The 25,435-nt window shown below is 37.8% G+C and overlaps 1 protein-coding gene across 3 annotated transcripts in view, besides 1 other annotated feature; it reads right to left on the reverse strand.

Annotated features, from left to right (window-relative positions):
- Nucleotides 1-25,435, reverse strand: part of STRN (striatin) — a 128,839-nt gene that overhangs the window by 97,854 nt on the left and 5,550 nt on the right. The window lies entirely within an intron of this gene.
- Nucleotides 1,372-1,572: a silencer, noted in NCBI's record as "peak3656 fragment used in MPRA reporter construct". NCBI's record gives its function as "represses an SCP1 promoter by STARR-seq MPRAs in K562 erythroleukemia cells {active_cell/tissue: K562}" and the evidence as "EXISTENCE:reporter gene assay evidence [ECO:0000049][PMID:32103011]".

The following is a 25,435-nucleotide window of genomic DNA, read 5'->3' on the forward strand; positions in this document are numbered from 1 at the left end:
CCTCTAAAGGCAGAAGCCTTCATTCATGCACTCAACATAAAATAATTAAGTGCCTACTAAGTGCTTCCCACTTGTATTGAGGACACAACAAAAAGCGGATTTTTGCATTCTACTAGATTATAAATCTGCTGAGGACAACAGCTAAATAAAAATAGACTCAACTGTTCCATCCCAAAGTGCCTTGCAATACTGCGGTTATTCAATGTTATTTGATTTAAAAGATAAAAGTTCAATCACAGTAAATGGAAAAAAACAGGCAAGAACATACGAAGTAGAAGTATAAACAATAATTACCATAAACTAGAAAGTCTGTTTTTCCTTAACCTTTGAACATTTTTTTAATTCTCAGTTTTTTTGCCTATACAAAGGTGGCTATGAAATGTGAATTAGAGCTCCTATTAATAAAACAAAATAAATAAAAAACGTTGGTATTAACATGTAAATAATAAATTTATAAATATTTTAAATATTACGTACTTAGACAAAAGCAAAGTAACAAAAGCAGATAGGAAATATCATGAAAACAATTTCTCTAAAAAAAAACTTATGATGCCTAATCCCCTGAATAAAGACATTTAAGCCTTTCTTGCTTCATATTTAGACAAAAATCTTCCTGCTTGCTTATGTTCCTATTTCATCTCTGAAAAGACTGTAAGCAATCAGTTGTCTGAGACACCATTCCTGGACAGTAATAGTGTGCTGTCCTTAGTATATGAAGATGTAATTACTGTAGTAACAATAAAAACCTAAGCTTTCAGATTGGATTCTGTTTTGGTTTTATTTTCTTCTACCACTACAATAAATGACACATCATCTTTTACTCTAATGATAAATGGTGCATAATTTTAATACAACTATGTGGAATTAAGAGAGAAATTCATGCTTATGGAACACGATTTATATTCTGTGAAGTATTAACAATGACTAAGTGAATGAACACGTAATCTGATTTAACTAACACCATCTTATTAATTGATATTACATATATAGATCAAAATTTTGTAATATATTGAACAGGACTTAACAGAAAACTACATGTATGTAAGTGACTAATAATCTTTCAATACAATGATGAAGCCAACAGAAAACTATAAAAACTATATTTGAGAAAGATGGAAAGTGGTAATAGGAGTATGCATGTTCTCCAACTTCTAAATTAGAGAAAATCTTATGAGTCAGCAAGTTAACATTTAATTTGATTATTTTTGATGTTACCAGCCCCAGAAATAGCATTCTGAAACAGATTACAGGCTTTCTTCTTTCTATTTGTTGTTACATCAACTATCACAACTCACCTTTCATTTTGTTGCTGAATTTTCAGAATAAAGCATGTGTGTTAAAATTCTCCTTCTGAAATAATCTTTCTATGTTCTTACATATTTAGGTTTGGAATATGGTTCATGATGGCAGAATTGTCCAGGTCAATATAGTAAAATACTCTGACAAAGACAGTAGGACCCAGACTCAAGCTGCGGAAGAGATAAATAAGCTCAGTTAAAAAGAAAAAGAGGGCCGGAAACGGTGGCTCATGCTTGTAATCCCAGCACTTTGGGAGGCCAAGGCGGGCAGATCACCTGAGGTCGGGAGTTCGAGATAAGCCTGACCAACATGGAGAAACCCTGTCTCTACTAAAAAATACAAAATTAGCTGGGCGTGGTGGTGCATGCCTATAATCCCAGCTACTTGGGAAGCTGAGGCAGGAGAATCGCATGAACCGGGGAGGTGGAGGTTGCGGTGAGCCAAGATCATGCCACTGCACTCCAGCCTAGGCAACAAGAGTGAGACTGTCTCAAAAAAAAAAAAAAAAGAAAAGAAAAGAAAGAAAAAGAAAAAGAGGTCGGGCATAATGGCTCAAGCCTGTAATCTTATCACTTTGGGAGGTCAAGGCAGGAAGATGGCTTGAGACCAGGAGTTCAAGACTAGCCTGGGCAACGCACTGAGAATCCATGTCTACAAAAAACTAAATAACTTAGCGGAGCATGGTGGTGCACACCTGTAGTCTCAGCTACCTGGTTGGGAGGCTCAAGTGGGAGGATCACTTGAGCCAGTGAGGTTGAGGCTACAGTGAGTCATGTTTGTACAACTGCACTTCAACCTGGGCTACAGAGTGAAATCTTGCCTTAAAAAAGAAAGAAAAGAAAAAAAAAAAGAGAAGAAGGAAATAAGAAAGAAAAGAAATTTGCTGCATAGACATGACCATATTCATTTGAGAGCAACTTAATAAATATGTATCTTGAAAAGATAGTTTAGAAAAGAAACTTACAGGCTATGACCAGAGTGATTATAAAACACTCTCTTAACAGTTAGCAGGAGGAAGAAAAAGTGTATTCTTTAAAAGGACTTCATTACTAGTAAATAGTTCTATAAAGAAAAGTAGGGGAAAAAAGGCAAAGAAACATGAAACTAAGTCAATGAAAAGCAAATAGGCTATGATCACATATCTAAAGGCCATGAACATGGCAATGAGTATTTTAAAGAATCTAAAAAGTGTACTTTGAATTTTAAAGTATTTTGAGAGATTAATTTTATAAAAGGAAAAAGTGTTATCATGCAGAAGGAACATACTTAGTATAATCAAAAGTTTAAGAAATTGGCCAGGCGTGGTGGCTCACACTAGTAATATCAGCATTTTGGGAGGCCGAGGCGGGTGGATCACCTGAGGTCAGGAGTTCAAGATCAGCCTGGCTGACATGGCAAAACACCGCCTCTACTAAAAGCACAAAAATTAGCCAGGTGTGGTGATGTACACCTGTAATCACAGCTACTTGGGAGGCTGAGGCACAAGAATTGCTTGAATCTGGGAGGCAGAGGTTGCAGGGAGCCAAGATCATGTCACTGTACTCCAGCATGGGCAATAGAGCAAGATTCTGTCTCAATTAAAAAAAAAAAAAAGAGTTTAAGAAATTAAGGAAAGCTGAGCGTAAGGAAACCTTTTCAAGGGTAGTACTAGTATAGCTCAAACCTGGTTTGAATTCCAGCTTTGTCACTTACTGGGTAAGTAAGTAGCAGCCTTAAGCCCAACTGGTGTTTGCTATTTGCATGTATTTTCATAAATAAAAGTGGTCTGCAGCGTTTTTACAGTGTTGTCAAACTTCAAGGTTATTAAAACTATTAATATCCTGTTTAATGTTTAAGAATAAATAACTATTTGATATCTTTTAACTATTGTCCTATCACTGACTTTTAAGACTCTTAATGACAATTTTGTGATTTTTCATGTAATCATCCTTTATATCTTACTTAGCAAGTTCTCTATTAGACATAATATATGTCTGCTGAATGAAACTTTAATTACAGATATCTTTGAACATTTATTAAAATTATATTTGTACTTGTAAGAAATATTTAAACAATGCTTTGTTTTTCTAAACTAAAAGAAAACCAATAGCACAAACCTTCATTTTCTAAGTGTGTCAAGTTTTTTTTTTTTATTTGTTTGTTTGTTTGTTTTTTGAGACTGAGTCTTGCTCTGTCGCCAGGCTGGAGTGCAGTGGTGCGAGCTCGGCTCACTGCAACCTCCAACTTGCTGGTTCAAGTGATTCTCCTGCCTCAGCCTCCCGAGTAGCTGGAATTACAGGCACGTGGAATTACAGGTCAGGTCGATCTCCTGACCTCGTGATCCGCCCGCCTCGGCCTCCCAAAGTGCTAGGATTACAGGTGTGAGCCGCCGCGCCCAGCCTGTTTTTTGTTTTAATCAAGCTATTGCGTGGGATACACTGTACTGACATTCTTTTTCCGAAGCCACTCAGGGATCTCCCGTTGCTTTTACAGACCAATTACCTGATACATCATACACCATACCTTATCTCAGATACATTAATTAGACGTGATGATAATATCTAGCTTTCCCACTGTGGCTTACAAAGCACTTTCATATACCTATCTTATTCGCATTATATATCTTAATTCTTCACAGCAGTAACATGAGGTAGGAATCAAAAATAGATTCAAAAAAGGCATTCAACAAAATTCAACATCTATTCTTTCCTTATTATTATTATTATTATTTTTTGCAGTGACAGGGTCTCAGTATGCTACCCAGACTGGTCCCAAACTCCTGAGCTCAAGCAATCCTCCCACCTCAGCCTCCCAAAGTGCTAGGATTACAGGCATGAGCCACCATACCCAGCCAGCATCTAGTCTTTTTAAAGTTCATTTTGCCACTTAATAGTGGAAATAGTTTCTGACACAAAATCACTATTCTGTAAGCATTTGCTGAACAGAATAAAAGTAAATAAAACAGGTTTCAAAAAGTGATTCAAAATAGTGTAACAACTAAAAGTATATTAAATCAAAAGTCATATACTAGGGAAAGACCACGATACAGTATTTAGGACAAAAAGGAATAATCCTGAAAAGAACCTGAATCCATTCACATTCTAACCAATATACTGTAGTAAAATCTATTCATTCATTTACTGAGTACCTACCACGTACCAAAACTTTGTTTAAGCATTTGGGTCATATTCCCACCATAGACATAGTTCAATTTTTCATTGAACTTATAATCTACATAAAATACTGATAGTTTAATTTTTTAAAGTACTTTTTACATTCTTGTAGAAATAGTATAACCCTTTCTGATTACTGAAGAAATGAACATTATAATCGGAGTTAAGATATATGTAGTAAACATATTCAAATGAGGCATTTTATATAAGATGTACTTCGAAGGAAAAGTAATAGAAGAAATATAAGAGAAATAATTTTAAAAAGGTTACCTTCTTAAAAGGTGAATATTAGTCAATATTAATAAACAAAATAGCCAGATTCTACTCAGAAACAAATGGCAGGAGGTTGATAAAGAACCATGAGAATATATAGAGCTGAATCATCACACGGAAAACTGCAGAGTCTAATTAGTAATAAAAAATACAAATTATCACAGTTGAAAATATTAATAGTTGGTGAAGCTGAGTAAAAGTTTCCTGTATTCCTCTTGAAACTTTTCTGTAAATCTGAAAACATTTTTGTCTTAAAAAAAGTAAATTAGGGGCTGGGTGCAGTGGCTCACACCTGTAATCCCAGCACTTTGGGAAGCCGAAGCGGATGCATCACGAGGTCAGGAGATCAAGACCATCCTGGCTAACATGGTGAAACCCCATCTCTACTAAAAATAAAAATAAAAATAAAAATTAGCCAGGCATGGTGGCGGGGCGCCTGTAGTCCCAGCTATTCGGGAGGCTGAGGCAGGAGAATGGTGTGAACCCGCGAAGCAGAGCTTGCAGTGGGCCAAGACTGCACCACTGCACAGCAGCCTGGGCGACTGGGCAAGACTCTGTCTCAAAAAAAAAAAAAAAAAAAAAAAAAAGTAAATTAGGCTGGGCACAATGGCCCATGCCTGTAATCCCAGCACTTTGGGAGGCCAAGGCAGGTGGATTACTGAAGATCAAGAGTTTGAGATCTGCCTGGACAACATGGCAAAACCTCCTATCTACAAAAAATACAAAAATTAGCTGAACATGGTGGCACATGCCTGTAGGCCCAGCTACTTAGGGAGGCTGAGGTGGGAGGATGACCTGAACCCAGGGAGCCTGAGGCTGCAGTAACCAGTTGATCCTGCCACTGCTCTCCAGCCTGAGCAACAGAGGTGAGACCCTGTCTCAAAACAAAGGAAGTAAATTAAAATGATAAAACCCAATGTTCACAGGCAGATGAATTACAGATATTAAATGAATTACATATAAAGATTTATATATTGTTGGTGGCAATGCAAATTAGTTCAATCTCTTCTGCAAAAGGGGACTATAAAGCTATGTGCAGACTCTATGATCTGGTCATTGCGCCTTGGAAAATACAACCCAAGAACACCAGCAGCCCCTTTCTTCACATCGCTCTCCACCCCATAAAAAAGTAATGTTCAAAGCTGTTAAATGACATGCTCTATTTTAGCTTCTATTTTTATCATCTGAATTATTTCCTTTGAATTTGCCTTTCAATGCATTTCTCAAGATGAACAGAATCATGGTGCAAAATTTTATAACTTATTTTCTTATGTAAACTTTTTTTTTTTTTGAGATGGAGTCTAATTCTTGTCACTCAGGCTGGAGTGCAATGGCATGATCTCGGCTCACTGCAACTTCTGCCTCCCGGGTTCAAGCAATTCTCCTGCCTCAGCCTCCTAAGTAGTTGGGATTACAGGCGCCTGCCACCCCACCCAGCTAATTTTTTTTTTTTTTTTTAGTGGAGACGGGTTTCACCATGTCAGCCAGGCTGGTCTCGAACTCCTGACCTTGGGTGATCCCCCAACCTCGGCCTCCCAAAGTGCTGGGATTACAGGCGTGAGCCACCGCACCCAGCCCTATTATTTTTATACTATCATTTTTATTGGTTGTATTACAAGTCTTCAAGTTGGTTTACCACAACTTACTTAACCATTGTGGTAGATGTTGTGGGCCGGCTATTCGAAATACATATTCCCAAGCCCCTTCTAACTTGTAGCTTCCCACTATAGAATCTGGAACGCCAAGGGCCTGCTTTCTTAGATTCTACTGTGGCCAAACACGGCTATGTGACCAATGAGTGATACATGTATGTCTGCTGGGAATGGGGAAAAGACACTTCTGGGAAAGCTTATCACTCACTGATAAAGGAGACTTACTCCAAAAATAACCCAAACAGACCTTTTTGTTGCTTTTCCCTGTGGTCTTAATGTCTGTAGCTATAGCAATCTTATAATCATAATGTATCAAAAAGGACAATGGCAATCAAGGATGGCAGATGAGAAAGAAAAAACCTAGTTTTTTTATGTCATTGCTAAGCCACTGCACCAGTCCTTGACTACCCATATTTTTCTCATGTAAAAATGAGAAAAATATCACCTCTACTTGTTAAGTCACTGTTAAAAGGGTTTACCAGCAGCCAAAAGCATTCCTGATATTCATTCCACTATAATTGGGTATTTAGTTTGTTTGTAATTTTTCCCTATTACAAAATCATTTGCCAGCGGTGCTCTTGATGCATATAGAATTTTAATGCTTTTTAAAAAGATTTCCCATGGAGAGACTACTATAAGCGGGATCAACAGGTCAAATATAACTATTTCATATCTCTTAATAGATACTGACCAATTGACAATACCACGAACAAGGTATGAGGGTAAAGTTCTAACATATCTATCTCTCCCAGTACTGGGTGTTAGCATCAATTTTTCTTTTTTTTTGAGACGGAGTCTTGCTCTGTTGCCCAGGCTGGAGTGCAGTGGCGTGATCTCAGCTCACTGCAACCTCCTTCTCCTGGATTCAAGCAATTCTGATGACTCAGCCTTCTGAGTAGCTGGGATTACAGGCACGCAACACCACACCCAGCTAATTTTTGAATTTTTGGTAAAGACAGAGTTTCACCATGTTGGCCAGGCTGGTGTCGAACTCCTGACCTCAAGGGATTTGCCCGCCTCGGCCTCCCAAAGTGCTGGGATTACAGGTGTCAGCCACCATGCCCGGCCATTTATTTTTTTAATTAATAGAAATATATATTGCTTTAATGTATGCTTCTTTGATGATTATTAATAATACTTTTCTGCCATATATTACTGCCCTACCAAAAAACCACCCAAATGCTCAAAAAGAGAGTTCAGTAAACTATATTTTGACTGATTTTTTAAATTCTTGTTAGTAAAAATGTAACATAGAAGGAAAAAAACAAACTTTACGTAGACATATAAAGCAAAAAACTGAGAGATACACCTCTTTATCCTCATCCCACTCCCCAGAGGTAATCAGTGTGAACAACTGCTGAATTCCCTTCTCAACTTTCTTGTATGAAGAGACAGAAAGATAAGCAAAAACATCTATTTTGGTTATACAATTATTAAAAATAAGTACAGGGACTAGAACTATATATATATATATAAATATATAAGATTAATAAAACTTTTACGAAGCTCTTACTATGTTACATTGTTCTAAGTATTATATTTATTAAATCATTTCACTGTCACACAAAAACAGAAGACATAAAACAGTTAAAATAGGCCAGGCACAGTGGCTCACACTTGTAATCCCAGCACTTCGGGAGGCTGAGGCGGGAGAATCACGAGGTCAGGAGATCAAGACCATCCCGGCTAACACAGTGAAACCCCATCTCTACTAAAAATAGAAAAAATTAGCTGGGCGTGGTGGCACACTCCTGTAGTCCCAGCTACTGGGGAGGCTGAGGCAGGAGAATCACTTGAACCTGGGAGGCAGAGGTTGCAGTGAGCCGAGATCCTGACACTGCACTCCAGCATGGACGACAGAACGAGACTCTGTCTCAAAAAAAACCAAAACAGTTTAAAACAAACTTGGCCGAGCACAGTGGCTCACACCTATAATCCTAGCACTTTAAGAGGCAGAGGTGGGTGGATCACCTGAGGTCAGGAGTTCGAGACCAGCCTGGCCAACATGGTGAAACCCCGTCTCCATTAAAAATACAAACAAAATTAGCTGGACGTGGTGGCGGGCACCTGTAATCCCAGCTACTTGGGAGGCTGGGGCAGGAGAATTGCTTGAACTCAGGAGGCAGAGGTTTCAGTGAGCCAAGATCTCGCCATTGCACTCCAACCTGGGCAACAAGAGTGAAACGCTATCTCAAAAAAACAAACAAAAAAACTCATACTTAAAACATATATATACACACTAACAGACAGTTGAAAATACAGATGTTAGAGTTAAATTTTTATTAAGTTGTTTTTCTCTTAATATACAAAAGCAATGCAGATATAACGAAAAAACGTTATAAAGAAGGAAAGACTGATATCTAAGTTCATACACTGTTGATTTTGCCATCAAGGTGGGCACTCCTCATAGGTAGAAGGAAATATATGGCTGCAGTTCCAAGAGTTTTCAGGATATTTGGTAATCTCATATAAACAATTGAAGTTTTTGCGCACACAAACAAAATAATGTGTAAGAGAATAAGACACAGAAAATATATCCTTTAAAAATTAAATCCATTACATAAGCCCATGTCTGTTATTTTAAGTAATGTTCCTAGTAGAAACACAAATCCCAATGACTTCATTTAACTTACAAGTATAGATTTATCTTTAATAAAATTATCATTGTTTTCTGTTAAAACTGTAACACTAACCTGAAAAATTGCCAAAAATAAATTATAGAACAAAAAAAGAAAACTGTTCCTATTTGTAAATATACATAGCAGAAGATTTCAATAAATGGACAGAAAGACATTCCATGCTCCTTAGATGGAATACAAAGGATAGAAGCAAGCAGTTCAGAGAGGAGGAAACCCAAAAGGCTAACATACTATGGAAGAGATGCTTAAATTCAGTCGTAATCAGAGAAATGCAAATTAATATAAGTAGGAGATATAACTTTAAATTTATCAGACTAGCAAGAAGTAGAATGCTAGATAATGCCAAGTGTTAGCAGCAATATGGGATCACATACTGCAAATGGGAACGTAGACCAGAGCAGTCATTCTGGAAAGCAATGTGCAGTACTTAGTCAAATCAAGTGTATATATAGCCAACAAACCAGCAATTCCAATATTTAGTAATATGTCAAAGAAATGATCAAACAGTTAAAAGTAATGGATTTAATATACATAAAACATCACAGCTGGATCTTTTTAAAAAAAGAGAAAAATGGGACAATTGGATTTTTATAAATAAAAAACGTGTAGGAAAAACAACGATATTTTATAAAGATACTTTTTTAAAAGAAGGGAAATAAATATGAGAGGAATAGAGATAAAAATGGGTAAGTAAATTAAACAACAGAGGGACCATGTGCAGACCAAGCGATGTCTAACTAGGAGAACTTAATTCTCTGTACCTGAGTTCAAAATAACATTATCAAAAATACATAATGACTTTATATTTAAGAATGCAGAGGTCAGGCATGGTGGCTCGCGCCTGTAATCCCAGCACTTTGGGAGGCCGCGGCAGGCGGATCATGAGGTCAGGAGTTTGAGACCAGCCTGGCTAACGTAGTGAAACTCCGTCTCAACTAAAAATACAAAAAATTAGCTGGGTGTGGTGGCATGCATCTGTAATCCCAGCTACTCAGGAGGCTGAGGCAAGAGAATCGCTTGAACCAAGAGGCAGAGTTGCAGTGAGCCAAGATCGCAACACTGCACTCCAGCCCGGGCGACAGTGCAAGACTGTCTCAGAAAAAAAAAAGAATGCAGAAGTAAAAATCCTAAATAAAATATTAACAAAACAAATACAGCAGTGTATCAAAAGAGAAATACTACAGGACCAACTTGATTTCATTAGTTAGTTAAATGAGAAAAAACAACATATTATCTTAGACGCAAAAAATCAATTCACGAAATTCAACATCTACTAGTTTTAACATCTCTTAGAAAACTAGAAACATTTTTAACATGCCACATAGTAATTCTTAGAAAGCAATGATAAATACTACACTTAACAGTTATACAGTTTTCATGTAACTTTAAAATAAACTTTTTTTTTAAGGAAAAACCCTGTAGCATGACCATCATGATACAAAGCTCTAGAGTTAATAGCCAATACTAGAAAAAGACAGGTATAAATACTGGAAAATACTAGAAAAAGAGAGGTATAAATACTGGAAAATACTAGAAAAAGAGAGGTATAAATACCGGAAATATTTCCAGTTGATTTTTTTCTACCTAAATATTTCCAGTTGATTTTTTCCAGTATAAATACTGGAAAATACTAGAAAAAGAGAGGTATAAATACCAGAAATATTTCCAGTTGATTTTTTTCTACCTAAAACATCCAAATATGAGAAAGAAAAATAAAAGAGAGAAATAATAAAGTATTTCTGCAAGGTGACCAAATGACTTTGCACACAGCAGCAGAGCTTTCCCATGTGTTGGAAATAACCAGTTAAGAGATAAAATGGAAAAAAGATCCCACTCACACTAGTAATAAAACCTACAAATTATTTACTTTATTCCTAGGTATTTAAGTATAGGATATCTCTACTTAAGGAATTAAGAAAAATCTTGTTTGAGAAGACTTGAAATGTAAACATCCCAATTATTACCAAGGTAAGCGCAAGCTCAATAAAAATCCCACGTGTGTGTGTGTATACAGAAAATGTGGTATACACTAAATTGTTAATAGAATTTCTCTCTAAACAGTAGGTTTGTAAAAAGGAATGGAGAGAGGCTAGGGTACTTTCTACTTCATATGTCTCTGTATATCCTGTGTTTTTGTATATACATGTATTTTTATTTTAAATAAATCATTTCTTCTAACGTAAAATTTAGACAGTTTCTAAAAATCTAAATTTAACTCAATTCCAAATAAGAACTAAAACTGTTTCTTTTTTGTAAAAAAGTTGATAGTTTCTAGTCAATGATTCATTTTCCAAATCTTTCCTTATTTCACATTATACCAAACTTACAAAAATTTCTTTTTTTTTTTGAGACGGATTCTAGCTCTGTCACCTAGGCTGGAGTGCAGTGGTGAGATTTCGGCTCACTGCAACCTCCACCTCCCAGGTTCAAGTGATTCTCCTTCCTGAGCCTCCTGAGTAGCAGGGACTACAGGCACGTGCCACCAGGCCTGGCTAATTTTTTTGTATTTTTAGTAGAGACAGGGTTTTACCATGTTAGCCAGGATGGTCTCCATCTCCTGAATTCATGATCTGCCTGCCTCGGCCTCCCAAAGTTCTGGGATTACAGGCATGAGCCACCACACCTGGCCAGAAAGACATTTTTTTAAAAGTCAATATAAATAAATTCCTTAACTAGGAAGGACAAGTTTTAGTAAAACAAACTTTTACTAATAACTACCTGAGTTTCAACTATCACAATATTCACTTCCTGCTAAAAATACACAAAATTAAATCGAAATGTCAAAATTTTTATTCAAACAGTCTGAAAACAAAAGACATCACAAAGTAAATACTATAAAATGCTAGATATATGTAAAAATATTCAAGATAAATTAATTCATTTAACCACTAAGTATATTAAATCTTAACCTACAAATTCCTACCTTTATTACAAAAAAAGCCAGTGAATATAACTCAATTTTTCTTGATAACTCGGGAACATATATATTATTTACATATATATTATATATATATATATATAAAATCACTGAACTGTGTTTTACAAAATTCAATGTAGAACTGTGTTCTACAAAAATTCGATGTTCTTTGACAGAGAAAGCACCAAGTGGGAGTTGGGAAATTCCTACTCCTGGTTCTCTCACAAATATATGCAACCTTATTAAAGTTACTTTTCTGAGCAACCTCAGTTCCCTCAACTACAAATTAAAAAGTTTAACATTCTGTGATGATATGGAACTAAAGATGACATGTGGAAAACTGAGGTAAGTACTGATCCCAAGACAGTAAGTATTTTTTTCAAATATTTCTATTTATTTATTTGCATTCTGCTTATTTGTCTCATTTTCATGGGACACTAAGGGTATGCAGTTAAAGTAACATCTTCCAAGGCAGTACTACTTTGGCTAATTTTTTTTAAATTAATTATTAAATCAAAAACAAAATAACCATCTTCCAAAACATTTCCCCTCATCCTATAGAATGATCATCCTCTCCTCTATAATTATCAGTGCACTCTTTTTTTTTTTTTTTTTTTTTTTTTTTTTTTTTTTTTTGTGACAGAGTCTCACTCTGTCGCCCAGGCTGGAGTAAAGTGATGTGATCTGGGCTCACTGCAACCTCCGCCTCCCAGGTTCAAGTGATTCTCCTGCCTCAGCCACCTGAGTAGCTGGGATTACAGGCATGTGCCACCACACCTAGCTAATTTTTGTACTTTAGTAGAGACGGGTTTCACCATGTTGGCCAGGCTGGTCTCCAACTCCTGACCTCAGGTGATCCGCCCGCCTCGGCCTCTCAAAGTGCTGGGATTACAGGCATGATCCACCGCGTCCAGCCAGTTATCAGTGTATTCAGATCAGCCAAAAGGTATCATCTATTTTTTTTACTTGCATTATTAGCCAAGAAATTTGGACTTCAATGTTAAATTTGGCCTTCTGTTAATTTGGACACAATTTTAACATCATTAACAACATATACCGTGATAGGTGTTGGAGATATTTGTCTTTAAAGGTACAGAGGAAGTTGCCAAAGAGATGAGAGATTGTCTGTGCTGTTGACTGCTATATCCCTAATTCCTAGAACAGTTACTTGCATGTAGTAGACGCTCAATAAATATTTGTTAAATTGACTGAACAGATTTATAAGAAGCAAGTAAAAAACAGTACAAGGTAGCACACCCTAATTGCCAAATGACAAAACAAGTACTAAAAAAGAAACATCAATGAAAGCTGAGGGTATCCAAATATCTTAGTGTTGGAAATGGGACTTGAGCTAAATTTGAATAAAGAATATATAAATCTACAAGGTGGTCGAAGGACATTCCAGAATAAACCTTTTGAGCAATGACAAAAAAAGCAGGTATGATTTATGTACAAAGCAAGATGACACTATTTTGGTTTAGAAAGAGTACAGGCATGTGTTGAACAATGACACTTCAGTCAATGATTAACCATATATACATGATGGTGGTCCCATAACTATAACCATAAGGTTATACCATAATTTGGCTGTACCTTCTCTACGTTTATGGCTTGGATATGTTTAGATACACAAATATTCGTCTTGTGTTACATCTGCCTACAGTATTCCATATAGTAACATGCTATACAGGTTTGCAGCCTAGGAGCAATAGGCTATGCCATATAGCCTAGGTATGTAGCAGGCTATACCATCTAGGGTTGTGTAAGTACACTCTACATGTTCACACAACAATGAAATTGTCTCGTTAGGTATTTCTCAGAACATATCCCTGTTGTTAAGTAATTCATGACTGTGCTCTAATATGTAGGAAATATAAACAGTCTAATCGTGCAGAGATTTAAAACCTATAACAGGCAAAAATAAAAAATAAAAAGAATGTGTTAAACAAATCAATTTTTAGAAGCCTGGGAGGCAATACTATGTAAACTACTTTGGCCAAGGGAGAAACCAGAAGTGAAATATTAGGGAAGACTTCTACTTTAGTCACCCAGATATGAGGTGATGAGGTAACCAGGGAAGAAGTAGTACTAGTAATTAAATGATTAAAAATGGATTTTAAACTACGTATTTTACAAACCTAATGCATGGCTAGAAGAGTGACTATAAGAAAGTGAAAGGTTGAGTGAAAGCTGAGGCTAGGTTTCTAGAAAGGGTAAACTGGGGGCTAGATCTGAGGAAAAGGGTCAACTGGGTTTGGGAAAAGGATTTTAGAAAGGATGATCGAGTTTCAAGTTATAGTAGGTCATCCAGGTGAAGACATTAGCAAAAACTGGACATGTACAATTTTAACTGCAAAAAAGTATCAAGACTAGTTAGAGATAATTTTGTAAATCATCCAAAGAAAAGGAATTAGGTAGAGTGAGAGGACTTCAGTCAGAGTAACTGCTGAAAAAAATATATAATTTGGTAATCAATTATCTGAATAGAGATCAGAAGCAAGATCACAAGAGACTGAGAAATGAGTAACCAAAAGCAGAAAAAGAGAAAGACAACAAAGGAACAGAGAGAGAGATGAGACTAGTAAAAAAAACTGAAGGTAGTAAATGTGGTCGTTCAGAGAAATTCAGAGTAAAATGAAGGAGAATGAGGGACAGGATGGCAATACTAATAGATAAGGGAGCTGAGAAAGGGGTTTCTTTTGTTGTTACTGGTTGGTTGGTTTGGTTTTGTTTTTTTTTTTTTTTTTTTTGAGACTGAGTCTCACTCTATCACCCAGACTGGAGTGCAGTGGCTTGATCTCGGCTCACCGCAACCTCCGTCTCTCAAGTTCAAGTGATTCTCCTGCCTCAGCCTCCTGAGTAGCTGGGATTACAGGCACGCGCCATCACGCCCAGCTAATGTTTGTATTTTTAGTAGAGATGAGGTTTCACCATGTTGGCCAGGCTGGTCTCGAACTCCTGACCTCAGGTGATCCACCCGCCTTGGCCTCCCAAAGTGCTAGGATTACAGGCGTAGTTTTTACTTAGGGAAAACTAAAATGGCATGGCAAAGTGGAGATGACCATTGGCATAATGGACTCAAGTCTGTCCAAGGTTAAGAATTACTGCTTGATTATATGCCCCATGTGAGCCAAGACCATATCTGCCTCTTCTCCATGGTATCCCCAGTGCCTAGGAGAATGCCAGATTTCAGGAAGTGTCTAATGCCCCAACCAAAAACCTTGATGAAAAAGCGTAGAATTTTTTAAATTCCACAATGACACATTTTACATGAAGCTTTGACAACTCCGGAACTTGCATATTTTAGCCTTTTTGTGTTTATTCTCACTTACTTGGCTAGCTATAAGCATCTGAAAAGCTAAATCTAAATTTTTTGAGGGGAAGCAGGCTCAGAGACAAGATTACAGTGTTTCAGTGTAAGTTCCAGATAATTGAGGCATTTATATTATTTATTTTAAAAAGCAGAGTTCAAAAAAGTTTAAATATCATAAGATATTGGTAATGTAACATAAAATCAGAAAAGGAGAATGCAAAGTAATGATAACTAGATATTTAAAATAAGATTTATCTACAAGAAAAAATATTCAATTAGTTCTCAATTTAGAAGGAATAAGACACTTGTAAAAAACTTGAAGGCATAGGCTTTAGAAAAGGAAAAAAATGTTACAGGGCCCTACTGATAACAAAAACTTTTTAGGATGTTATGTCAAAGAGATTTCCTGGCAGTCAGTGATTAACACACAAGGCGGGGTGGAAGGAGACAACACTATACTCACAACTACCAAAACCCAAGTGCAATTTGCTACAACTAGCATCAAGTAGCAATTATGAAGCCTGTGGCATCCCTGAAATGACCTCTGTCAAAATGATTTGGTATGGCCCAGGCAATGCTTTATACAATAAAATGCAGACACTATTTGCTGCACTAAAAAGCTCTTTCCAGTGGAAGTTGTAAGGCAGAACTAGCAAGCAGCAAAAGGGACAGATACACTGCTCGCCTAAAACCAAAATATACTGTACATTCACTAAATTTATGACAAACATGGTAAATATCAAAGATGTCTGAAACACAGGTCCTGCCCTTAAGGACACAATTTAGCTGACAGACAAGATATACATATATAGACACATGTTAATACATATTGAGTAACAGTGTAACCTAATATATGATTCATTCATTTAAGAACCACTTGTTAGGCAGCTACTATGTGCCAGTCACTCTACTGACCTTAGAGAAATAAAAATGCCCTTAGGTGACTCAGAGTCTACTGAGGAAACAAATATATACCAAGTATGAGATAGGACGGGTTCTCAACCCCTGGGCCACTGACCGATATGGGTCCATGGCCTGTTAGGAACTGGGTGGCATAGCAGGAGGTGAGCAGCAGGCAAGCCAGCATTACCCGCTGAGCTCCGCTTCCTGTCAGATCAGAGGCAACGCTGATTCTCATAGGAGCACGGATCCTACTGTGAACAGCCCATGCGAAGGATCTAGGTTGTGCGGCACTCCCAAGAATCTAACGCCTGATGATGTGAGGTGGAACAATTTCGTCCCGAAAATACACACGCACGCACACACACACACAATTGTGGCTTATTCAAGAATGACAATACAAAACTCGAATTAGCATTCTAAGAAACAAAAATGTGAAGGGTGGGTAGGCCTGTCTTACATTGGGAAAGGACTATATACATCTATATACTATTAACCTGAAACAAATTTTTTAAGATACCATTTTAACATCTTTTCGGATTAACTGATCAACCACCAGTCTGGATGGTGCTGGATAACAATGCTTCTGCTTTGTAATACAAGCTGTTAGGGAAGCACGAAGCTTCCTTGTGCCTGGAAGTCAGACAGGTTTCCCAGAATTAATGGAATCTTGAAAGATGATTAGAAATTCACCAGGCAAACAAGGGAGAAGAAAACATTTCAGCCCTGCACAGTGACCCTGAAGCACGAGAGAAAAAAAAAAAAAAAAAAGCCAAAATATTTGCTTCTACTTACCATGCCCAGACCCATCACTCAGCCTTTTTCTACAGCAAATTATTTAACCTTTCTTCCCAAATTTCTCACCTATGCATTTGGGAATGATTAATATCTACCACATACAGTTTTACAAGGATTAAAATAGATTGTAGATATAAAGCACTTAGCATTGTACCTGGCACACAGAAAATGCTCAATAAATGAAACTATTATTAATGTTGGCAGATAAAGAACAGAAAGAAGAAACAAAAGATAAAGTACTGGGTTGAATTACTAGGGCCATGGATACCTTCTCCCCTGGCTGACTCTACTTTTCAAGTTCAGCAAGTGCGCTGACCCAGATCACAGGCTCCTCCCTGTTCCCTCCTTTCAGCTTTACACCAATCCACATTCCTCAGGGAGCAGGTTTTGGTTGTGCCTATAATTTAAGCTCTTTTGCTCAATGGTTAACCTTCTCATTTAGGAAGTATAAACAAAAAAGGAACAAATCCCAGAATGGGCTGTAATTTTCCATCAGGTGAAACTGGCATCACCGTTGTGGAATTTGACATGGTGTTTATTTCTCATAACTAGATATACCAGTATTGGATCTGATTTCTCTCACATTCAAATGAATGCTAATGAAACCTGTGTGTTCAGTAATGAAACATTCCCCCGGCCCTTTCCTTGAATCTTTCTGGTGAGTGATGCATATTTGCCACACCCAAAATACCTATTTCACCCAACCTTATTCAATACTTCCCCAGCTCACCTTAATTCCAGGGTTCCTATTCCCTTATTTTTCTCTCCATCTCATCTACAAAACAAAATACCTACTACTTTTGTCTTCTGCCATACTGCTTCCAGTCAATTCTGTAACAAATTTTCCTTCTTCCATATCAATGTTTTCTAATATTCTAATATTCCATTATCTTATACAGATAAGGTCCTTTTTTTTTTTTTTTTTGGAAATGCAGTCTTGCTCTGTCACCCAGGCTGGAGTGCAGTGGCACAATCTCAGCTCACTGCAAGCTCCGCCTCCCAGGTTCACACCATTCTCCTGCCTCAGCCTCCCAAGTAGCTGGGACTACAGGCACCCGCCACCACACCAGGCTAATTTTTTGTACTTTTAGTAGAGACAGGGTTTCACCATGTTAGCCAGGATGGTCTCGATCTCCTGACCTCATGATCCAACCACCTCGGCCTCCCAAAGTGCTGGGATTACAGGCGTGAGCCACCGTGCCAGGCCAAGGTACTTTAAGAAAAAACAGCATTAAGTCTACCAAGAAAGTGATCTTATTTTGTCAAATAACTTTCTGCATAAGAGCAAATACACAGTTAACATATTATTCTGTTCTAACATAGCATATGTAAAACAGCCTAAAAATAGACTAATAATCAGATGTAGTGGGTCAAGACTGTAATCCCAGCTACTCTGGAGGCTGATGCAGGAGGATCAACTGAGCCCAGGAGTGTGAGGCTGCAGTGAACTATGATCATGCCTATGAATAGTCACTGCACTCCAGCCTGGGCAGAATAGAAGAGAGACACAGTCTCTTTAAAATAAAAATTAAAAATAAACTAAAAATCAAATTTTTAGGTTAACCAAATAACATAAAAATTAAAAATAACCTAAAAATCAAATCAAAGTGCTTGATCTTTGCTATATCAAAGATCACAATATTTGATATGTGATCAATAAACAAACTATATTAAAATATATATACAGAACTTAGTTAAGCTACCCTCAGAGCAAGCTAAAAAAGCTCCAAATTTGGCCAGGCGTGGTGGCTCACACCTATAATCCCAGCACTGTGGGAGGCTGAGGCAGATGGATCACTTGAGGCCAGGAGTTCAAGACCAGCCTGGCCAATATGGCAAAACCCTGTCTCTACTAAAAATACAAAAAATTAATTAGGTGTGGTGATGGGTGCCTGTAATCCCAACTACTTGGGAGGCTGAGGCAGGAGAATTGTTTGAACCCAGTAGGCAGAGGTTGCAGTGAGTTGAGATTACACCATTGTACTCCAGCCTGGGCGACAGAGTAAAGCCCTGTCTCAAACAGGGGAAAAAAAAAAAAAAAAAGAGCTCCAAATTTGCAGATTTTTTTAAGATGAAATAAGGATTTTATTTCAGTATTCCCCACAAAAAAATAAAAGTATTTAAGGAAATGAGAGAACCACTTTTTTTTTTTTTTAGATGGAGTTTCACTCTTGTTGCCCAAGCTGGAGTGGAGTGAAATGGCGTGATCTCGGCTCACTGCAACCTCTGCCTCCTGGGTTCAAGCGATTCTCCCTGCCTCAGCCTCCCAAATAACTGGGATTGCAGGCATGTGCCACAACGCCCAGCTAATTTTTTGTATTTTTAGTAGAAACGGGGTTTCACCATGTTAGCTGGGCTGGTCTCAAACTCCTGACTTCAGGCAGTCCGCCAGCCTCAGCCTCCCAAAGTGCTAGGATTAAAGGCATAAGCCACCATGCCCAGTCCAAGAACTACACTGTTAAACACTTCTGAGAAACACAAATTGTTAAAGACTTTCCTGAACCTCTTACTATACCGTTTCACTAAATTATTCTACTCGAAGAAAAACTTCAAATAATCAGTGATAAGAATTTAAATTATGACAGCTATTCAAACCATACTTAATCATCTAAATATTAAAATTCACTTGGCTCCTTCAGGTCAGAAGCAGCTACACAGAGTGAGGGACCAAAAAAAGGAGAGGATATGGTATAGAGAGCAATGCCCTGGCCTGGGTACTAGGACTCATGGGTTCTAAACTAGACTAAACCAATTCACACAGTGACCTGAGAAAAGTCACTTCCTTTCTCTAGCCCTAATTGATGAAACGGGGGATGAGATTACTTAAATTCTAAGGTCCCTCTGAGGTAAAATATTCTTAGTCTAATGAAGAAAGAAAATCGAGAGGGAGGAGGGCAGTGCACATGTGTGCATATGTGCATATGCATGCGTGTGTATCCCTGTCAGCCCTAGAATTCTAGAATTATAAGTGCCGAAATGAAAAATACAGATAAGACATCTTTGTAGAGTTAAGAACAGGTTAATGTGTGCAGTTTCTCCTCTGCCTCTGCTCTTTCCACCCCTCTCCTCCCTTCTTCTGTCTCTTCTCCCCTTCTAACCCCTTCCTCAATTTCTCTCTTGCCTCAAGCGTCCTTTCTGAACTCCAAATCTGCCTCGATTACTACGTCCAGTCCTTAATATCTACAAGCTATCACCACTTACTTCTGCCATCTCTAGCCTGTCCCCTACCTCCAACACACAACTCACTGTCCTCAAACCACTACAGATTGAGTACCGCTTATATGAAATGCTCGGGACCAGAAGTGTTTTAGATTTCAGATTTTGGAATATTTGCATATACCTAATGAGATATCTTGGGGATGAGACCCAAGTCTAAACACAAAATTCATTTATGTTTCATATATACCCTATACACACAGTTTAAACGTAATTTTACTTTTCCCTATGGGATACTAAATAAACTCTGTTGAAAAAGCACCTGCTTTTTCACTGCAACCTGCCACACGAGGTCAGGTATGGATTTTTCCACTTGTGACATCATGTCAGCACTCAAAAAGATTTAGATTTTGAAGCATTTTGAATTTGGGGTTTTTGGATTAGGGATGCTCAACCTGTACTTACAGGACAAAGAGAATGTAAGTAGCTACTATGATAAACGGATCACTGAAACTGGTTCTTGGCTTCTACAATAGGACTTATATAAATAATAAATCTAATGCCTTCTGTCCATAGAAATCTCAACCAACAAAAAAGCAAACCACTTACTGGACACCCATCATATATCACATATTTTGCATATTTATCTTTTTTAAACCTTACAGCGATCCTGCTTAGTAGGGATATTATCACCCACATTTACAAAAATGAGGCCTAGAAAAATTGTAAAATGAAAGTGATAGAGATGTCTGACTCTGAGGCCCATACTTTCAACTGTCCAATTATGATGGTCAACAGATTGTTTTGTCAGATTGGCCACCGAGGCAAGAAACGCCAAAGATCCAAGGACAATTTTATTTCTAATGGCCCAGAATTGAAACCTGGATGCTACACACATTAGCAAATCAAAAGTATAGCTGACATCAAGGAGATAGCAGGTGGGCAAAGGGGACTCTATCCAGATTATCTGAACTTTCAAACACCTTTCATTGACTGCATAGCAAAGGGTTTTGTTTGTTTTAAACTCTGCTTCAGTTATCAAGATTTTGGAGAAAAACTGTAGGTCTCCCTTTACCATTCAAAGAAAAGTAGATTTGAAATAAAGTTCAGGACTAAATAGGCACATCTCTTGATAAAGAAGTGCTGTCTGTCAACATTATTTCTCCCCCAAAAATTAGTAGGGCCATTCTTATTTGTCAGATTTTGAAAGTAAAATAAGAGAATTCAGTTTCCAGTTATGGTGCCCCACAACAATTCTTCTACTGAACGCAGCCAAAAATTCTGGACAAAATATTTTCACAATTTTCTTAAAAGCAACACAAAAATAGGAAGGAATTATCTGGCCAAAATAAAAGGGAAAATGGGAACCCAGTGAGGTAAAGGAACAAAAAGCCATTTTTGCCCTTAGGATATTGACCAATCACAACAAACAGCCTTGCAGGACTCAAGGAGCAAAAATCAAACACCCTACCCCTCCAGAGTGGACAGTCTAATAGGTGATATACCTCACATTTAGCTAGATCCCTAAAGGGCTTATGTCTTCAAAGCAAAGACAAAACAGAAGTATATTGGCCCTCAAATGTATTCACAACCAAAATTCACATCAGCTGGGTGGCCCAAACATCTTAAGTAATGCATTTACTTTAAAGTGATTCCAGGCCTGGCAGTGGCTCACGTCTGTAATTCCAGCACTTTGGGAGGCGGAGGCGGGCAGATCACTTGAGGCCAGGGGTTCAAGACAAGCCTGGCCAACATGGCAAAACCTCGTCTCTACTAAAAATACAAAAATTAGCCAGGCGTGGTGGTGCACACCTATAGTCCCAGCCACTCCGGAGGCTGAGGCACAAGAATCGCTGGAACCTGGAAGGCAGAGGTTGCAGTAAGCCAAGATCACACCACTGCACTCCAGCCTGGGTGACAGTAAGACCATCTCAAAAAATAAAAATAAAAAATAAAGTGGCCCCAGACTGGTAATAACTCTAGACATCTACCAGAAGGAAATGTAAAAAACAAAAAACAAACAAAAAAAAACCTTTCTGAAGAAGATACCTTTATTTGAGAGCTCAGATTAGTCTCATAGTTCTTCTTTTTGTCTTTTTTTTTTTTTTTTTTTTTTTTTTTTGAGGTGGAGTCTCTGTTGCCCAGGCTGGATTGCAGTGGTGCAATCTCGGCTCACTGCAACCTCTGCCTCCCAGGTTCAGGTGATTCTCCTGCCTCAGCCCCCCGAGTAGCTGGGATTACAGGCGCCCATCACGACGCCCAGCTAATTTTTTTTTTTTTTTTTTTTTTGAGACAGTCTCACTCTGTTGCCCAGGCTGGAGTACAGTGGCGCGATCTTGGCTCACTGCAAGCTCCGCCTCCTGGGTTCAAGTGATTCTCCTGCCTCAGCCTCCTGAGAAACTGGGATTACAAGCATGTGCCAACACACCTGGCTAATTTTTATATTTTTAGTAGAGACGGGGTTTCACCATGTTGGCCAAGCTGGTCTTGAACTCCGGACCTCAGGTGATCTGCCCGCCTCAGCCTCCCAAAGTGCTGGTATTACAAGCATGAGCCACCGTGCCTGTCTAGTCTCACAGTTTTTCAAGGACAGCAGGCGGCACACAAAGGTAAACTAAGGATACAAGGGAACACGTCGTCATGAACAAGAACCAGCAGAGACAACAGACCACACAAAGGCACCTCTAAGACCTCAGATAAAGGAAACGCAAAGACACTAACTAAAAAATAACTACTTACTATGTTTAAAGAATTAAAGATGACACTGAAAATACCTGCAGAGAACAGAACAATATTTTTTTAAGAAATGACCGAGCAGATTTGAAAAGAAACCAAAATGAACTTCAACAATAACCAAAACTAAAAATTCAGTGGATGGTTTTAACAAATCAGACTCAACTGAAGAGAAAATTAATGGAGTGGAAGATATGTCATTCACAGACTGGAAAATAAGTCAGAATAAATTATCGAGAATAAAGCATGGAGAGATAAAAAGATGGAAAATACAGAGCAGATAATGGAGAAGCCCTAAGATCATGTAATCAAAAACCCAAAAGGAGAAGAAAGGAAAATGCAATCGAGGACAAACCTAACAAGATAGCAACTGAGAAATCTGCAGAACTAATGAGAAGCCAATCCACAAATTCAAGGAGTCTAATGAAGTCCCAAACAAAATAAAAAGAAATATAGGCTGGGTGTGGTAGCTCACGCCTCTAATCCCAACACTTGGGAGGCTGAGGCGGGCGGATCACGAGGTCAGATAGAGACCATCCTAGCTGACACAGTGAAACCCCATCTCTACCAAAAATACAAAAAATTAGCAGGGCATGGTGGCGGGCGTCTGTAGTCCCAGCTACTCGGGAGGCTGAGGCAGGAGAATTGCTTGAACCCAGGAGGCGGAGGTTGCAGTGAGCCGAGATTGTGCCACTGCACTCCAGCCTGGGCGACACAGCTAGACTCCATCTCAAAAAAAGAAAAAGAAATCTATACTGTGACACATCATAATGAAACTACATAACACCAAAGACAGAGAAAATCTTAAATGCAACCAATAAAATAAGCTAGAAAGCAGTAAAACACAGTAAAATCTTTATGCCTGTTATCTAAAAAAAATAAATAAATAAGCATCAGTGTGGCTCTGCTTACCTCAGAAGGTTGTACAGTTTAAATGGTACAGTGTATCTGAAAGGGCTTTAAAGAAAACTGTAAAGAGTGCTGGCTGTAGCAGTACATATACTCAAATTGGAATGATACAGATGATTAGCCTGGCCCCTAGACAAAAAATATGAAAAAATAAAACTGTAAAGATATCTGGAGATGTAAGTGACAGCTTGTACAAAACCTATTTCATTCTTGGTCATTCAGCCTCCCTCTGAACCTCACTTTACCTAACTGAGCTGATTATTTCCAAAGTTCATTCCAGCTCAAAGATTACTCTGTCATTACATCTCAGTCAGAAGGAGGTGATTCAAATTATAATATTCTACTGCCTAAAAATAAAATGCTATCATCAGAAAGAACAATGGAAAAAGAAATTATATCCCAAATTCTATAAAAAGCCATCCATATAGGGAATACTAATAAAAGTGTTGAAATCACCAAACTTTTATAGATAATGTAAAAACAGAAAAAAACAACTAAAGCAGTGGTTCTCAATCCTTGCTGTATACTGGGGAGCTCAAAAAATACTAATGCTAGGGGTCCTCATTCCTAAGATTCTGATTTAATTGATCTGGGGTAGAGTCCAGGGAATTAGTATTCATTCCCTCTGATTATTCTAAGATTATAGCTAAGGTTGAGAAACACTGAACTGAAGAGACAAATAATAGGATACGTTTTAAAAGATTAAAGCCTCTATAACCTTTCTAAAATATAAAGATTATGAAATTATCAAGAATATGAGTAGAATGAAAAATGAACCTGCTGACAAAATTATACCATATGACAATGGAGTTCACCTGCTCCACATGTAAAGGAAGTGGCTTAAAGAGCCAAATAAAATGTAGGATTCATTTCATAATGTGGTTAGTAAATTTACACAATTTGTTACCCATGATGTAATGCAAAGTTAAGATAAACACATTCAGAAAAGTTTATATGAATTTCAAGGTAACAGATACCTACTGGGTTATTAAAAGGAAAGCAAATACACTTGAAGTATATCCTCAATGTTCTGAGGCTGACACTGAAGGCAACCATTCACTCCCATTAAATATCTCTTAGTGCCTGGGTCAGACCCAGAATATTACACTGCATGGCCTCAGGATGGCACTTGTATGCTCCAGCCTCAGAAAAGTTCATGACTGAAGATTATGCTTTTCTCTGGGGATGAGGAGATAACCGAGAGCAAAAGTTTAGCATCATGCATCTGCAACCATTTATTAAGCACTTACTTTATCTTATGTACCATGCCTCTGCTAAGTACTTTAAATTATCTTAATTTAATTCTCACAAGGTAATTTATTATCCTTAACTTACACATGAGAAAACTAAGGCTCTGAGAGATCAGAATTACGGCAAATATGTATTTTAGGCGTAAAATACAATAGTAAGTTTTAAAGCAAGAATTTTAAACCCAGGTCTCTGCCATATTGCCTTTTGTGATAATTATAAATAATAGTCACAATAATAAAGACAAACTCATTTTAAGTATTTATGTTTTCCATTAAAAAGCTCAGTAAATCTTCTCAGCTGTCCTATGAGGCTGCTCATTCTCTCTATATCCATGTATTTTTGTTTGTTTGTTTGTTTGATTGATTTGTTCTGAGACAGGGCCTCACTCTGGCACCCAGGCTAGAGTGCAGGGGCATGATCATAACGCAGTGCAGCCTTGATCT

This window comes from Homo sapiens, chromosome 2 (assembly GCF_000001405.40).
Source record: "Homo sapiens chromosome 2, GRCh38.p14 Primary Assembly".
Classification (NCBI taxonomy): Eukaryota; Metazoa; Chordata; class Mammalia; order Primates; family Hominidae; genus Homo; species Homo sapiens.